Below are 18,000 nucleotides of genomic sequence, written 5' to 3'. Positions count from 1 at the left end.
GTGTTCGGTCATCTTAGCAGCATGCAAACCAGTTTTCTTATTTTTGTAGCAGTCAAACTTTACAGAGAGGGCTGTTGTGCACTTAGCTACTTATTCTGGAAACTAATGGAAATCCTCTTGAATTTGGGACTTCACATTAGAGAAACTGTCATCTTCTAGAGATGTATGACTTTGTCAATAAAACAATTGAAATCAGTTTGTACTTTTGCAATCATAACCATAGATGAGGCATTGCGCCCTTCACTCTTTCTGAAAATTAAGACTTCTGGAGTATTTAAAAATTTTAATTTTTTATATTTTATTTTATTTTATTTTTTTGAGACAGAGTCTCACTCTGTTGTCCAGCTGGAATGAAATGACATGATCACAGCTCCCTGCAGCCTCAACCTCCTGGGCACAAGAGATCCTCTGGCTTCAGCCCCCTAAGTAGCTGGGACTACAGGTGCACACCACCATACTCAGCTACTTTTTGTATTTTTTGTAGAGATGGAGTTTTCTACAAAACCACAGGCTAGGCTGTTCTCAAACTCCTGAGCTCAGGTGATCCACCTTGCCTTGGCCTCCCAAAGTGCTGGGATTACAGGCGTGAGCCACCGTGCCTGGCCAGTCTTTTTTTCTTCTTATTTTTTAAATCCCTCAGAGAGGTTCCGTCAGTTGGGAGCCAATCAGGAAAAAGAATAACCATACTAGGTATTTCACTCAGAGGAGACAGAATGCAAACAACTTGTTAGAATACTGTTAGAAGGGCCGGGCGCAGTGGCTCACGCCTATAATCCCAACATTTGGGGAGGCCAAGGCAGGCAGATCACCTGAGATCAGGAGTTTGAGACCGCCAGCCTGGCCAACATGGCGAAACCCCGTCTCTAAAAATACAAAAATTAGCCAGGCATGGTGGCACATGCCTGTAATCCCAGCTACTCAGGAGGCTGAGGCAGGAGAATTGCTTGAACCTGGGAGGCGGAGGTTGCAGTGAGTTGAGATCATGCCACTGCACTTCAGCCGGGGTGACAGAGCAAGACTTTGCCTAAAAAAAAAAAAAAAAAAAAAAAAAACTGTTAAAAGGATGGAGAGAATGAAAAGGGGAAGGTGCAGTAATCCAGAAATTAGTCCTTGTGTGAAGCAGCTGCCACCCTTAAGCCTAGGAGAGCAAAGATGCAAATGCGCTGCTGCACACCACAGTACTCCTGGGATTGCCGCTCAGCCAGTGCTAGAGATGCCTAGGACCTGGCCCCTGGGCTGCAGCAGAAGCAGGCCTGCCTTGCTCGTTCTGGGACTGCCAAAGAGAGGCTGCCACTGCCATGGGGAACACTGTTAGAATACAGACACTTGCAGAGATGCTGCCAGAAGCAGATGGGGAAAGAGAGGAAGAGGAACAGCCTCACCCCTCTTCTTGCTTTCTGAACTCCTGACAGTGCCTTATTTTGGCAGAACATAACAGGAAGCCAGCTGGCAGGGGAGCCTGGGAAGGGTAGTTCACAGACTCCAAGCCCCAGCATGACTGAGCAGAGAAGGGCAGGTGTGGAGCTGGCAGACACCAGGTCATACCTGGCATATAGGCAGCTTACATGGGCACCACTGAGATGTGCAACATATATTCTCCTGACAATCATCTGACATGTTTTTCCAGCCTTCGATGTTTCTTTCAGAATTATTGGGTTCTTCGTGGACCTGTTGAACTGAAAAAGGTTTTTATGTATTCTCATGGACCATTTGGTTAGAGCTATTCTTAAAGTCATGCCAAACAGTGAATTTCTGCAAACCCCAAAATGCAGACATTGTTTTAATAGAAGAAACAGTATTGTCACACTGAGCTACTGGAAGGAACGATGCTATTTCTACTGCTTGACAAATGGACCTACCACCTACATATTAAGTAATTTTAGATGTGAACAAATGTAGAACAACTGAACTTAATGTCTTCTAGTTAAGTTGGCTTACATCCCTCAGCTACTTCCTTTCTTTCTCTCTGTAAAAGAAGGAACTGAGAGGTGGTCTGTGAAAAAAAGCAATGAATGGGAAGGATCAGTGGTCACTCCTGGCAGTTTCAAAGTTGAAGAGATGGGCTGGGCCTGGTGGCTTTTGCCTGTAATCCCAGCACTTTGGAGGGCTGAAGTGAGCGGATTGCTAGACCCCAGGAGTTCAAGACCAGCCTAGTCAAAATAGCGAGACCCTGTCTCTACAAAAGTTTTTAAAAATTAGCTAGGTGGCCGGGTGCAGTGGCTCACGCCTGTAATCCCAGCACTTTGGGAGGCTGAGGCGGGCAGATCACGAGGTCAGAAGTTCGAGACCAGCCTGACCAACATGGTGAAATCCCATCTCTACTAAAAATACAAAAATTAGCCAGGAGTGGTGGAGCGCGCCTGTAATCCCAGCTACTCGGGAGGCGAGAGGCTGAGGCAGGAGAATCGCTTGAACTCGGGAGGCGGAGGTTGCAGTGAGCCGAGATTGCGCCATTGCACTCCAGCCTGGGCGACAGAATGAGACTCCGTCTCAAAAAAAAAAAAAAAAAAAATTGCTAGGTGTGGTGGTGCATGCCTGTAGTCCCAGCTATTCAGGAGACAGGCGAGAGGAGATTGCTTGAGCCCAGGAGGTCAAGGCTGCAGTGAGCTGTGATTGTGCCACTGCATTCCAGCCTGGGTGACAGGGTGAGACCATGTCTCAAAAAAAAAAAAAAAAAAAAGTTCCACAAAGTAGAACCAAAAGACACAGGAAGATATCAAAATTAGAGGATCCATCCAAGATCGAAAGAGTAGGAATGCCACAATGAGAAAACAACAGTCAACAAATTACCAAAGGAAATAATGCCAGAAATTTCCCAAGAACTGACAGACAGGAGTAACCATATTTATTGAAAGAGTCCATTATCAATATCCAGCTTAAGAAATGAAATAAAAAAAGACCCATGTCAAATCACAACATAATGAAATTTCAGAGCACCCAGTTAAAGAGAAGTTTCTGCCTCCCTAGGGGTGGGAGGTAGGGGACAACAGATTACTTTCAAAGGATCTGAACTTAGAATGGCATCCAATATCTCAGCAAAAACAGGGGTGGTAGTATTGCAGGAAGCTACTGACAAATATTAACCCTAGAAAGAAGATCTGGGAGGACAGAAACAAGGGAGAGAAGTAAAGACAACTCCCAGGATGACAGCAGTGGAAGGCTGCACAACAGACCAAGAGAACAGCTGTTCTAGAATAGAGAGCTAGAGCTAAGAGGGAAAATAGATGGTATGTTTTCCTGCGTGAAAAATTACACTGAGTGATTGCTGAAGGTTATGAGATTTAGTAGGAGGGATTTCAAGCAATTGAAAAAGAGAGGCAATTATTAATCCCAGGAAAACAAAAAGTAATACAGAAATGGAAGCACGATTATAGTATGTTAAGAGTAAATATGGGCCGGGCACGGTGGCTCCTGCCTGTAATCCCAGCACTTTGGGAGGCCGAGGCAGGCGGATCATGAGATTAGGAGATCAAGACCAGCCTGACCAACATGGTGAAACCCCGTCTCTACTAAAAATACAAAAATTAGCCAGGCATGTTGGCACGGGCCTGTAATCCCAACCACTCGGGAAGCCGAGGCAGGAGAATCACTTGAACCCAGAAGGTGAAGGTTGCAGTGAGCCGAGATCTCACCACCGCACTCCAGCCTGGGTGACAGAGTGAGACTCCATCTCAAAAAAAAAAAAAAAAAAAAAGTGAGACAATTATTAATTCCAGGAAAACAAAAAGTAATACAGAAATGGAAGCATGATTATAGTATGTTAAGAGTAAATACAAACATAGCCATGATAACGTAATTGTTAGATGTTTGATTTAATCAAAATATATGATTCAACTATAGGGTAGATGGGAGATTGAAGAGGTGGAGTACAAGAGAGCTAAATACTCCTATAATGAAAGAGAAGGTGACTGTGTAATATTTAAAATTGATGGAATTTAAAGATTATGGTATGGGCATATAGTTTAAAAGTGTGGAGATAAGTAACAGAAGAAACAGCCAAAATAAGTGAAAAGTGAGTGCTTTTGATGAGGAGGAAAGTCAGAAGGAGCAGGTAGAAATCACTGGTTTTTATTATAACCTTTTTTTAGGATTACTTGACTTTTTAGCTTATACATTAATCATTTTGATAAAATAGTTGTTAAAATTTTGAAGCTCTTTACATTTGTAGGTTCTGTTATATCTTGAGAAATAAACTTACAAATAGGAAAGAAAAATCTGTTAATTTAAAATACAGAGAATGTATTCAGTAAAGAAGAATGTAAGTGACTTAAATATACTTTACGCACCCTTAGTTGGATATTTTTAAGGACATTGAATTGCAGAAATCTTGAATTCTACTAAGTAGATTTATTGTTTAGAGTGATATTAGAGTAATTCTGGATCTGCTTTGTGTATTAGTTGGGGAGAGTAAGTGAGTAAATATATTGATGTTATTGGGAACTAGGGAGATAAATAGTGAATGTGAATGAGAAAAGTAATAATGATCTTTATGGTGTTTGGTTTGAATTGGAAGTATCATGGTGGGCTGCTACTTTAAGTAAATAAATACATTGCCCACTTTAACCACTGAAAGCATGTAGAAGCAGTGATACTCCTGTAGTAATGAGCACAGTTTACACCCAGTTCTTGGTTTCTAAATACTATTCACTCCCAAAAGAAACTAAGACTCTTTGCAGGAGCAACTGAGTCTAAATCTGGGACAGGAAGATAAAAGGCAAGCCTAGAACATCTTGGGTCTGAGATCAAGGAAGCGCACAAACAATGATGGGGCTATGTAAAAGAACACAGGAGCTGACTTATAGGGACTCCCACAGGTCACATTTGGGGCAGTCATGCCTGTAATCCCAGCACTTTGGGAAGCCAAAGTGTGAGGATTGCTTCAGGCCAGGAGTTTAAGGCCAGTCTGACGGTCAACATAGTCAGACCCCGTCTCTACCAAAGAAAAATTTAAAAACTAGCCTGGTGTGGTGGTGCATGCCAGTAGTCCCAGCTACCAGGGAGGCTGAGGCAGGAGGATCACTTGAGCCCAGGAGTTAAAGGCTGCAGTGAGCTTTGATCACACCACTGCACTGTTGCCTGGGCAACAGAGTAAGACCCTGAAAAAAGAGTCTGAAAAAAAAAATGGAGGCAATTGGAGCAATAAAAAGAATAACAATGTTAATGGATTATAGATACTGAACTTGAAAAATGCATCCATGAGTCCATGAGTTTGCGTATCCACAGTGATACTTAAAAAAAAGTGGGAGTAAGGGGGAGGCCGAGGCGGGTGGATCACGAGGTCAGGAGATCGAGACCATCCTGGCTAACACGGTGAAACCCCGTCTCTACTAAAAAAATACAAAAAAATTAGCCGGGCGTGATGGCGGGCGCCTGTAGTCCCAGCTACTCGGGAGGCTGAGGCAGGAGAATGGCGTGAACCCGGGAGGCTGAGGCAGGAGAATGGCGTGAACCCGGGAGGCGGAGCTTGCAGTGAGCCGAGATTGCGCCACTGCACTCCCGCCTGGGCCACAGAGCAAGACTCCGTCTCAAAAAAAAAAAAAAAAAAAGTGGGAGTAAGGATGGGGAGAGGCTCTTTCTCCCAGCTAAGATATATTAAAAAAAAAAGATAAAATTAGAAAAACAGCTTTTGCAACCACCAGTAATTGTTTCAGGATTGACCATCAATGCCAAAACTATTGGGTGAAAAGATATGGGAAGCAGGATAACCACAGTCTGAAAGTATCACCACACAGATTATTTATTAATTATTAAGGAGGAAAGACACTTGAAAAAAGTGATCAAACTTAGCATCACCAGGAGTATGACAACCTGGATTATGAAGCCCCAAGTTTTTTTTTGTTGTTTTTCTTTTTTTTTTTTTTTAGGCAGGATCTTGCTCTGTCACCCAGGCTGGAGTGCAGTGGCACAATCGTAGCTCACCGAAGCCCTCCATCTTCCAGGCTCAAACAATCCTCCTGCCTCAGCCTCCCAAGTAGCTGGGACTATAGGCGCACACCACCGTACCCAGCTAATTTTTTGTATTTTTTGTAGAGATGGGGGTCTCACCATGTTGCCCAGGCTGGTCTTGAAATCCTGAGCTCAAGTGATCCTCCCAAGTCGGCCTCCCAAAGCGCTAGGATTACAGGACACAGTACACTGCTCCAAATTTGATGCGGTATAATTAACACAACATCACCTACTGTATTTATGCCAAAAATGTTAACTTGAATGACATCAACAGACACTATAAGAGTAGTTCAGATTGATGGGTGTTCTGTGAGACAAGGAAAATATCAGGGTCATGAAGGATAGAAAAAGGATAGAAGAATTGTAGATTAAAGGAAACTAAAGAAATATGACAACTAAATACAGTTTCTGATTTTGATCGGATTCCAGATTTTAAAAACATACCCAGCTAGAAGGACATTATTGAGTAAATGAGGGACATTTGAATATGGACTGTGCATTAGATAATGTTGTATCAGTGTTAAAATTCTTCAGATTAACAATGATATGATTCTGTTGGAGAATATTCTTGTTCTTAGGAGATGCATGTTTAAGTTTTTAGAAATGAATAGGCCGGGCGCCGTGGCTCACACCTGTAATCCCAGCACTTTGGGAGGCCGAGGCGGGCAGATCACGAGGTCAGGAGTTGGAGACCAGTCAGGCCAACATAGTGAAACCCTGTCTCTACTAAAAATACAAAAAATTAGCCAGGTGTGGTGGTGCGCGCCTGTAATCCCAGCTACTTGGGAGGCTGAGGCAGGAGAAACACCTGAACCTGGGAGGCAGAGATTGCAATCCAGCCTGGGTGACAGTGTGAGACTCCGTCTCAAAAAAAAAAAAAAAAAAAAAAAGACAAGGAAATCACTACATTATTATGACATTATTACATATAACCACATTAAAAACATTCATTATTCACCATTTAACATTGGCCTATATAGATGTTCATTATACTATCTTTTCGGCTTTTCTGTCAGGTTGAAATCTTTCAACATAAACAGTTGGAGAGAAAGATGGAAAGTATAGACGATGAAGCTGCCCATGGGTTAGTGCCTTAGTTCCCATGTTAATATTTTTAATATGTCTAAGGAGTGAAGGAATGCCTGATGAAATTTCTTTCTAGGTCTGCTACTAATCAGCACTTTTATATCTCATCCTGAAAGATAGGAAGATTTTAAAAGATAAAAACATTTTAGGCTGGGTGTGGTGGCTCACGCCTGTAATCCCAGCACTTTGGGAGGCCAAGGCGGGTGGATCACCCGAGGTCAGGCATTCGAGACCAGCCTGGCCAACATGGTGAAGCCCTGTCTCTACTAAAAATACAAAAATTAGCCAGGTGTGGTGGCGGGCACCTGTAATCCCAGGTACTCAGGAGGATGAGGCAGGAGAATCACTTGAACCTGGGAGGCAGAGGTTGCAGTGAGCCGAGATCGTGCCACTGCACTCCAGCCTGGGCAACAGAGACTCCGTCTCAAAAAAAGAAAACAAAAACAAAAACAAAAAAAAAAACACTTTAGTGTGAGCAAGATGTCGCATTAGGCAAATATGATAGATGCTAACTTCTAGGGTCAATCAGAAGAGCCCAGCTACTCAGGAAAGCAACACCAACTGCTCTCATTACAGTAGTTCCCCCTTGGTCTTGCTTTCCACAGTTTCAGTTACCTGTGGTCAACCACAGTCAATCCTAAAATATTAAATGGAAAATTCCAGAAGTAAACAATTCATAAGTTTTAAATTGCATGCTGTTCTGAGAAGTGTGATGAAATCTCACGCCATCCCACCCCATCCCACCCTGGATATGAATCATCCCCTTGTCCAGCGTATCCACGCTGTATACGCGGCCCATTCATTAGTCATTACCATGATCTGCTCCTCACATCCAGCTATGGCCATCATCAGGGCTCAGTGATTCAGGATTACTCGAACCAGATGATCTTGCTTCTGACATATTGCCAGGAGGTCAATAGTAGCCTAACGCAGTGTCACACTGCTGACATTTGGGACAATCACGCCTGTAATCCCCGCACTTTGGGAAGCCAAAGTGTGAGGATTGCTTCAGGCCAGGAGTTTGAGGGCCAGTCTGGTCAACATAGTCAGACCCCATCTCTACAAAAGAAAAATTTAAAAACTAGCCCGGTGTGGTGGTGCATGCCAGTAGTTCCAGCTACCAGGGAGGCTGAGGCAGGAGGATCACTTCCTCTCATCCCGTAGGCATTTATTTCATCCTCTCACATTATCACAAGAAGGAGGAGGAGTACAGTACAGTCAGATCTGTTGAGAGAGAGAGAGAGAGAGAGACCACATTCACATAACTTTTATTACGGTATATTGTTATAATTGTTCTATTTTATTATTAGTTATGGTTGTTAATCTCTTACTGTGCCTAACTTAGAAATTAACTTTATCAGCCCGGCGTGGTGGCTAATGCCTGTAATCCCAGCACTTTGGGAGGCCAAGGCGGGTGGATCGCCTTAAGTGAGGAGTTCGAGACCAGCCTGGCCAACATGGTAAAACTCCATCTCTACTAAAAATACAAAAAATTAGCCAGGCGTAGTGGTGGGCACTTCTAATTCCAGCTACTCAGGAGACTGAGGCAGGAGAATCACTTGAACCCAGGAGGCGGAGGTTACAGTGAGGCGAGATTGCGCCACTGCACTCTAGCCTGGACAACAAGAGCAAAACTCTGTTTCAAAAAAAAAAAAAAAAAAAAAGAAAAGAAAATAAATTTATCGGCCGGGTGCAGTGGCTTACCTTATGTCTGTAATCTAAGCACTTTAGCAGGCCGAGGTAGGCAGATCACCCAAGGTCAGGAGTTTGAGACCGGCCTGGCCAACATGGTGAAATGCTGTCCCTACTAAAAATATAAAAATTAGCTGGGTATGGAAGTGGACGCCTATAATCCCAGCTACTCGGGAGGCTGAGGCAGGAGAATCACTTGAACCCGGAAGGCAGAGGTTGCAGTGAGCCGAGATTGTGCCATTACACTCCAGCCTGGGCAACAAGAGCAAAACTCCATCTCAAAAAGTTAACTTTATCGTAGGTATGTATGTATAGGAAAAAAGATAGTATTTGTAGAGTCAGTCCTGTCCCTGGTTTCAGGCATCCCTTGGGGGTCTTGGAACGCGTCCTCCATGCATAAGGGACGATTAATGTATAAGCTTTTCTCTGAAGACCTTGGCCATCAGGAAGGTAGGAAGCCAAACCAAAGCATTTCTGACCCACATATTAAGCTTGCATAAGCTCCCTCAGCTGGAAAACTTCGTGAACTTGAGTCCTTACAGTTTAGATTTACATCCTGAAAGTTATCACAGTGTGGTGAAATTGTTCGGATGTTTATCTTCTCACTAGACCTTGAGCTTCCTGAGTGCAGGGACTGTGTCTTGCAATTCTGATTCCCAGCAACTAGCACAAATGACTGCCTTTGAATTGGATTCATTGAAAGGCAACTGAAATAATGTGGATGAGGATTTTCTGAGCCTTCAAATTTTTTTAAAGGACTTCTCAGTCTGGAAAGATGAAATTTGAATAGGGATAGAAAGTTTATTAGATTATGAATGGTTTGGATAGGCTATACATTGGTTCCCATATTCTTTTTTTTTTTTTTTTTTTTGAGACAGAGTCTTGCTCTGTTGCCCAGGCTGGAGTGCAGTGGCGCAATCTCGGCTCATTGCAAGTTCTGCCTCCCAGATTCATGCCATTCTCCTGCCTCAGCCTTCTGAGTAGCTGGGATTACAGGCGTCCGCACCACGCCTGGCTAATTTTTTGTATTTTTAGTAGAGATGGGGTTTCAACGTCAGGATGGTCTCGATCTCCTGACCTTGTGATCTGCCCACCTCGGCTTCCCAAAGTGCTGGGATTACAGGTGTGAGCCACCGCGCCCAGCAGGTTCCCATATTCTACAATGTTCATATGTAAAAGAAATACCACCTGTCACACAGGATAAATTCCTTCAGTTTAGTAGCTTGCAGTTACATACTATCCAACCACCATTATTTATTTCACAAAAGCCTTCACACACACCATACAATGGAATATTACTCAACCACAAAAAAGGAATGAAGTAGTAATCCATGCTAAAATATAAATGAACCTTGAAACATTATGCCAAGTGAAAGAAGCCAGAAACAAAAAGCTATATATTATATGATTTAATTTATATAAATGTCCAGAGTAGGCAAATCTATAGAGACAGAAAGCTGATCAGTGATTGCCAGGGACTGGGGAGTTGGGAGAAATGGAGAGAGACTGCTTAATGGGTATGAGGTTTCCTTTTGGGCTGATGAAAAGTTCTAGAATCAGCCTGGCCAACATAGTGAAACCCAGTTTCTACTAAAAATACAAAAATTAGCTGGGCATGGTGGCAGGTGCCTGTAATCCCAGCTACTTGGGAGGCTGAGGCAGGAGAATCGCTTGAACCTGGGAGGCAGAGTTTTGCAATGAGCTGACGTCGTGCCACTGCACTCCAGTCTGGGGAACAGAGTGAGACCCTGTCTCAAAAAAAAGAAAAAGAAAGTTCTGGAATAAGTAGTAGTGATAGTTGCACAACATTGGGAGTGTATTTTGCCAATGAATTTATACTTTTGTTAAAATGGTCATTTTTGTTATGTATTTTACAATTTATTTTTAAAAAGGAAAAAAGCTTCCATATATAGCTGCTCCATTAGAAACAAGTACTACTTTTCATAAAGAGTCATTTCTCTAGGAGCTTTATGGTATTGAGCAGCCCAGGCAATTTGGGAAGGCTGAGGGCTTCCTGGTGTAAAAGATTCAAAACAGTTTTATGTAGAGTGGCAATGGGTTATTAAAGTGAACTAGGAGATGTTGGGGATACATCTAACTTCTGAAGGTGCTGAAAAGGAGAGGCATTTCTTTTTTTTTTTTTATTTTTTTATTTTTTTGAGATGGAGTTTCTCTCTTGTTGCCCAGGCTGTGGAGCACAATGGTGTGATCTCAGCTCACTGCAACCTCTGCCTCCTGGGTTTAAGCGATTCTCCTGCCTCAGCCTCCCGAGTAACTGGGATTAGAGGCACCCACTACCACGCCCAGCTAGTTGTATATTTTTAGTAGAGACGGGGTTTCTCCATGTTGATCAGGTTGGTCTCGAACTCCCAACCTCAGGTGATCTGCCCACCTCGGCCTCCCAGAGTGCTGGGATTACAGGTGGGAGCCACCGTGCCCAGCAAGGAGAGGCATTTCTTTGAGTATATCTCTTCATGTCACTGTCATAAAACTGGTACAGCCATAAAACTGGTAAGAACATCAGACCAGATTCAGTGTAGCCACCCCTATGGTGTCACTGTGGCCAGTCAGCAAGTTAGAAGCTCTAGGGAGTCTCTTTGCTTCCTGGCCTCCTGGCTTGTGAGTTTGTTTTCTTTTTCCTAAAATACTTTATTTGGATGCATGTGAAATCAACCCTCAGACCTGCATGCATAAGCTAGAGGGGGCCCCCCATTGAGTGTTGGATAAAGTTTTTGAGTTTTGTCAAGAACAGTGACCAGATGTGACCAGGGTTAGTGGTTTGTGGTCATTGCTTGCTAAACTTTTTCTTTCCGTGGTACTTCTCAAACATTCTTAATTTTCCATGACACACCAGAGTGCTGAGGATTGAGGTTAAGTGGGATGGACAGGCAGAGTGCTGTAAGATGTGTGCTCCCGTGGTAATATTTGGTTTAGTCAAGGAAAGAGAAATGGGGAGGGATAGACAGAGAGATGAAAGAGAGGAAATATAAAAGTTGAGAGAGGAGGAAAAGGAGCCAAGAGTGATACTGAAAGGCAAAGCAACAGATATCTCCTGTTGAAAATGCCCTCTGTGTTACTGTATAGGATCTGCTTTCCTGTACCATGATTACTCTTCCTGGTCTTAATAGTCAGGGGCCGGCCGGGCGTGGTGGCTCACGCCTGTAATCCCAGCACTTTGGGAGGCTGAGGCAGGTAGATCACTTGAGGTCAGGGGTCTGAGACCAGCCTGGCCAACATGGTGAAACCCCATCTGTACTAAAAATACAAAAATGAGCCGGGTGTGGTGGCGTGTGCCTGTAATTCCAGCTACTCAGGAGGCTGAGGCAGGAGAATCACTTGAACCCAGGACGCGGAGGTAGCAGTGAGCTGAGACCGTGCCACTGCACTCCAGTCTGGGCAACAAGAGTGAAACTCCATCTCAAAAAAAAAAAAAAAAAAAAGGAATGCATAACCCGGAGGTATAATGCAAATATTCCAATATCCAAAGTTCGAAACATTTCTGGTCTCAAGCATTTTGGATAAGGGATACTCAACTGTATTTCAAAGTAGCTGAAAGAACAAATTTTAAATGTTGTCACTACAAAAAAAAAAAAAAAGTATGTGAGATAAGGGATATGTTAACTAACTTGATATAATCATTCCACAATGTGTGTAGATACTAAAACATTACTTTGTACCCCATAAATATATATTCTTTGTCATCTAAAAATAAAAAATTTTAAAAATATATCTTTGTCCCTACTTCTGTGAAATTATTTAATTGTGCTCTCATTTAGAGAGTCATTTAAGCCAGAAGTCACAAATTCAAATGGCAACCAGGTAAAGAAAATGAGATATGTGGCCAGGCATGGTGGCTCACACCTGTAATCCCAGCACTTTGGGAGGCCGAGGCAGGCGGATCACCTGGGGTCAGGAGTTTGAGACCAGCCTGGCCATTGTGGTGAAACCCTGTCTCTAATAAAAATACAAAAATTAGCCGGGTGTGGTGGCGCATGCTTGTAATCCCAGCTACTGAGAAGGCTGAGGCAGAAGAATCACTTGAAACCTGGAGCAGAGGTTTCAGTGAGCTGAGATTGCACCGTGGCACTCCAGCCTGGGTGACAAGAGCAAAACTCCATCTAAAAAAAAAAAAGAAAGAAAATGAGAGCTGTGTGTATATGACAGTCAGGAGTGGCAGGTGTCCCTGTGAACTAGAGCCCACAGAGAACTTGCTCTTCAGCCCCTCGTCTGCTACCCTGTGGAACTGTGGCCCCAGGATGCCATATCACCTGTCTCCTGAGAGAGAAAGAGAGAGAGCGATGATTTTGTGTAAACTTTGCCGATTTTTAAAACACTGACCAGGTTAAAACACAACTGCAAATCAGACTTGGCTCCCTGGCTGCCAAGTTATGACCAAGGATGTAAGCTAACAAGTCACTAAACCAGATGCAAAGGCTGGGTGTGTTGTGTGTGAGACAGTGGGAAGTCAATGAGTTTGTTATTCACCTTTTAGAGTCGCTTAGTTTGATTTTAAAAATATCACCAGGAAATCATCCATAGTAGGGAAACTGGAGCTTTGATGGGAAAGTGATGTTATGACCTGAGTTGGGGGTGTGGGTGGGGCAGGCAAGCAGGCCTACATGAGGTGGCATTGTGCATCTTTGCAGGCCAGAGACAGCAGTGTGGGGTCTCAGTGTGCCTGGGCACTGAACAGAGGAGGGCTGGGTGATGGGAAGAGAGCAAAGAAAGGAAGAGGTTTGGTGGCTCATGCCTGTAATCCCAGCACTTTGGGAGGCTGAGGTGAGCAGATCACCTGAGGTCAGGAGTTTGAGACCAGCCTGACCAACATGGCGAAACCCCGTCTCTACTAAAAATACAAAAATTAGCTGGGTGTGGTGGCGGACGCCTGTAATCCCAACTACTCGGGAGGCTGAGGCAGGCGAATTGCTTGAACCCAGGAAGCAGAGGTTGCAGTGAGACAAGATCACGACATTGCATGACAGCCTGGGCAACAGAGCGAGACTCTATCTCAAAAAAAAAAAAAAAAAAAAGTTTAGTATCAGAGGCAGACTGCCCACCTACAGCATTTTACCTGGAGCCTCCGTGGTCTTGACCCCTTCCTCCTTCCCAAATCAATTGAAAAACATCTCCTTAGCCTAAAAGGTGAAATTTGCAAGTATATGCAAGGAAGCATCCTGTACTTAGGCAGCAAAAGTCCTGGGCTGTTGAGCAAACTAGATTAACTTTGCTTTAAGTGGTTGTTGTTATATTTTGTAACTTTTTTCATTGTGCCACTAATCAATTCCTGGTACTTGGGCCTCCTCATGTAACCTATTTACTCTTTTTTACAAAAAGAACATTTTTTAAAAGTTAAGGGAACCTGGGTGAAAATTAACTTGAATTTTTAATTAGGTCGGGCTTTTATTTTTTAACATCAGTATTAACCTGGAATTAATATTTCTCATCAAAGAACGCAAACCAGAACACTACAGGAGTGGAAGCTTCGCAGCAGAAGGGAGGCCCTATCCGGCAGATGGGGAGGGCCAAGGGAGCAGGAGGAGGGGGTGGGGTTGGCTGAGTTGGTAACAGGAGCAGTCTGTGAGAAGTCTGCTGGCTTATCTGTTCCCAGTAGGGAACTGCTCTTCACTTTCCCCATCGCAGGTTTGACATCCATCACCACCATGCCTGCCTCCCTGATCTGATGGCAGGATTTATATAGTGAGGCTCTGAAAAAGTGGAAAGGGAGGTGCATGGGAACCAGCTGTGAAATGATAAATCAAGACCTCTTTAAGGTCCAGGATTATTTTGGCATCTTTCACATGAGAGGCTTTAAGAAGCAGGAATATGGCTAAAAGCATGGGGTTTATTTTAAGAGAGAAAACAGTTACAATGATCAGTTTGGCTGTTTAAATAGACGTAGCTTCATCATGGCTCCAATGTGGCTGTTTTGCACCTAGCAGTAGAGAGAACAGTTCTAATTAACCCCTTTCATCTGATTTTACTGTCTCTGGGTAAACTGAGCCCCATCCATCATTCCAAAGGCTCTATAAAAACTTGGAGTGGTTGAGAGTACCCGGGGCAACAGTGTGGTTTGGTTTCTAAGGCTACGTATCGAAGAATCACATCTCCACTGCTTCTTGAACTGGAGCAGAAGCATTTCTGGGTTTTGTGGTCCAGATCCTCTTGGGGCATGTTTTTCTTAGAAACCTTCTCCATCTCCTGGCTCCAGCTGTCCTTACCACTCAGTGCATCCTCACATTTGCAGCTTTTTTTTTTTTTTTTTTTTTTTTTGAGACAGTTTCACTCTTGTCACCAGGCTGGAGTGCAATGGCACAATCTTGGCTCACTGCAACCTCCGCCTCCCGGGTTCAGGCGATTCTCCTGCCTCAGCCTCCCAAGTAGCTGGGACTACAGGCACGTACCACCACACCTGGCTAATTTTTGTATTTTTAGTACAGACGGGGTTTCACCATATTGGTCAGGCTAGTCTTGAACTCCTGACCTCATGCTCTGCCCACCTCAGTGTCCCAAAGTGCTGGGATTACAGGCGTGAGCCACCGCGCCCGGCCATTTGCACTTTTATCTGCACATCTGTCTCTTGATCTCCCTGTCATTTCCTGGCACTCAAAAAGTTTAAACCAAATTCATCATTTGCAACCCCTCACCCCACTATCATAAACACACGCGCCACACACACTTGAAACCCAGACAAGAAGCCAGCCCACACCGGTATTTGTGTTTGGCACCACTGTTCTTCCCGTAGCTCTGGCTGGACAATTCCTTTCCTATGTGGAGCTCTTTCTCCTCCTCCAGTGCCTACTGCCCCTCAGGCCATAGCATGTCTTGCACGCTTAGGGCTCTCCCTTTGCATTTTCTCTGTCACCATTCTCTGAAGGGCCCCCCACTGGATCATCCTGAAACACTACTCTTATCTTGCCAGGCCCTTGTTAGTGTAAACCTTGGAGAGCTCCAACCTGGCTCTGGAGCAGGGGTCCCCAACCCCTGGGCCAGGACTGGTACCGGTCTGTGGCCTTTTAGGAACTGGGCCGCACAGCAGCAGGTGAGCGGTGGTTGAGCGAGCATTACCACCTGAGCTCCGCCTCCTGTCAGATCAGTGGCAGCATTAGATATAGGAGCGCAAACCCTATTGTGAACTGCACATCCGAGGGATGTAGGTTGTGTGCTTCTTATGAGACTCTAATGCCCGATGATCTGAGATGAAACAGTTTCATCCCGAAAACCATCTCCCCCTTCCCCTCCAGGCCGTGGAAAAATTGTCTTCTGTGAACCTGGTCCCTGGTGCCAAAAAGGTTGGGGATGGCTGCCCTAGAGTGCACAGCCCACAGTCCTTGGCTCTGGATCTGAGGCTCTCCACGGTCTCTCTACATGGTCTCGTCTGCCACCTTGTTCCTCTACCCCTATGGAAACCTCCCACTATAGCCAAACCAGTTATTTCTTCTCCCCCAAACCTAGCTTGTCCATTTCTGCTTCTCAGCATTTGCTCACACAGTGGGCTCCCCTCAGTTGCTGTTCAACTTCAAATCTTGCTTCAGCTGCACTTGAGTCATGTCTTGGCCGGGCGCGGTGGCTCATGCCTGTAATCCCAGCACTTTAGGAGGCCGAAGCCGGCAGATTACCTGAGGTCAGGAGTTCGAGACCAGCCTGGCCTACATGGTGAAACCCCGTCTCTACTAAAAATACAAAAATTAGCCAGGCCTGGTGGCACATGCCTGTAATCCCAGCTACTCGGGAGGCTGAGGCAGGAGAATCGCTTGAACCCAGGAGACAGAGGTTGCAGTGAGCCGAGATCACGCCATTGCACTCTAGCCTGGCAACAGAGCAAGACTCTGTCTCAAAAAACAAACAAACAAAAAAGTCATGTCTTGTGGCGACTACTCTACTTTCCCTCTATGCCAATTACGTATTTTCACTCTTTCGTTTATTAGAGATCCATGAATATATGTATCTTTGGAAGAGAAGCCATGCCTCCTTCTCTTTATTCATTGTGGAGGCCAGGCGGGCATAGAAAGGAGTGAGGCTGCAGTAGAGAAGCAAAACCAGAGAGCATCCCTCTCAAGAGGTCAGCCCCAGGTGATTGTTGCCAGGTAGCAATGTGGGCCCAATATCGCAGTCTCTTCTGATTTTTCAAGGCAAGCCAAAACCTCCATTTCCATGTGAAATTGCTTAATTTCGACTTTCCACATGATACTTTAAAGGTGGTATCTACTAGAGAAAAGAGTCCCTTATAATTTACAATTTTAAATTTTACAATTTATAATTTATATATATAATATATATTTATATATATAATTTATAATTTATAATTTAAATTTTACAATTTAAAAATCATTTCAGCTGGGTGCGGTGGCCCACGCCTGTAATCCCAGCACTTTGAGAGGCCGAGGCAGGCAGATCACCTGAGGTCGGGAGTTTGAGACCAGCCTAACCAACATGGAGAAACCCCGTCTCTACTAAAAATACAAAATTAGCCAGGCATAGTCGCACATGCCTGTCATCCCAGCTACTCAGGACGCTGAGGCAGGAGAATCGCTTGAACCCGGGAGGCAGAGGTTGCGGTCAGCCCAGATTACGCCATTGCACTCCAGCCTGGGCAACAAGAGCAAAACTCCATCTCAAAAAAAAAAAAAAAAAAAAAAAAATCAAGTGCAACATTGATAAGAAACAGCAATATATTCACTGGAAAAATACAAAGCCTGCCTTTCAAGATAACTTTAGGATTCATAAGAGTAGATTTTCTGGAAAATCAGGAGTTGAATGTTCCATCCTGTGAATTTAGGATTTAAATGATAGAAAACCATGCTAGTGTTTATCATGTTTTCCTTTTGCAGATAAATTTAAGTACTATAAATTCCCGTTACTTAACATAGCCAGATGCCTTTAATATCTTCTAATTTTCATTTTGTGAAAATGTTCAGTGAAACAAATTTTTAAATGGCATTTTCCCAGATCGACATTAGAGGACAAGTCTGTTTGAGAGGGCTATTAATTGCTCAGAGAGTCTGCATGTTGGGGAAAATCACAGCCCTTTCCAGCTTTGATAAATGAGAGAAGGTCACCTGAGGGAAAGGAGCAGCTGCCCTCTTTGATAGGCTGAGAAAACAGGAGTTACTGGCCTCGGCAGGTGTTTGGAGAATTCCCACGCAGGTGCACATTCCAAATGAACTATTTATTACACGTGGGCTTCTGTGACATGGTCATCTTTCACCCATTCATCACATTTTTATTGAATCCCTTCAGCAATGCTGTGCTATGGGAGGATCCCGCGGTTGCGTCAGC

At 44.1% G+C, this 18,000-nt stretch overlaps 1 protein-coding gene across 3 annotated transcripts in view, besides 1 other annotated feature; it reads left to right on the top strand.

Moving 5' to 3' along the window:
* STX8 (syntaxin 8) overlaps nucleotides 1-18,000 on the top strand; it is a 325,350-nt gene that overhangs the window by 217,808 nt on the left and 89,542 nt on the right. The window lies entirely within an intron of this gene.
* Nucleotides 9,167-9,461: a silencer, noted in NCBI's record as "tiled region #2542; K562 Repressive non-DNase unmatched - State 24:Quies". NCBI's record gives its function as "represses a minimal TATA promoter and a strong SV40 promoter by Sharpr-MPRA in K562 cells {active_cell/tissue: K562}" and the evidence as "EXISTENCE:reporter gene assay evidence [ECO:0000049][PMID:27701403]".

The sequence above is a fragment of the Homo sapiens genome, chromosome 17 (assembly GCF_000001405.40).
Source record: "Homo sapiens chromosome 17, GRCh38.p14 Primary Assembly".
Taxonomy (NCBI): domain Eukaryota; kingdom Metazoa; phylum Chordata; class Mammalia; order Primates; family Hominidae; genus Homo; species Homo sapiens.
This window is presented reverse-complemented; position numbering and strand designations above follow the sequence as displayed.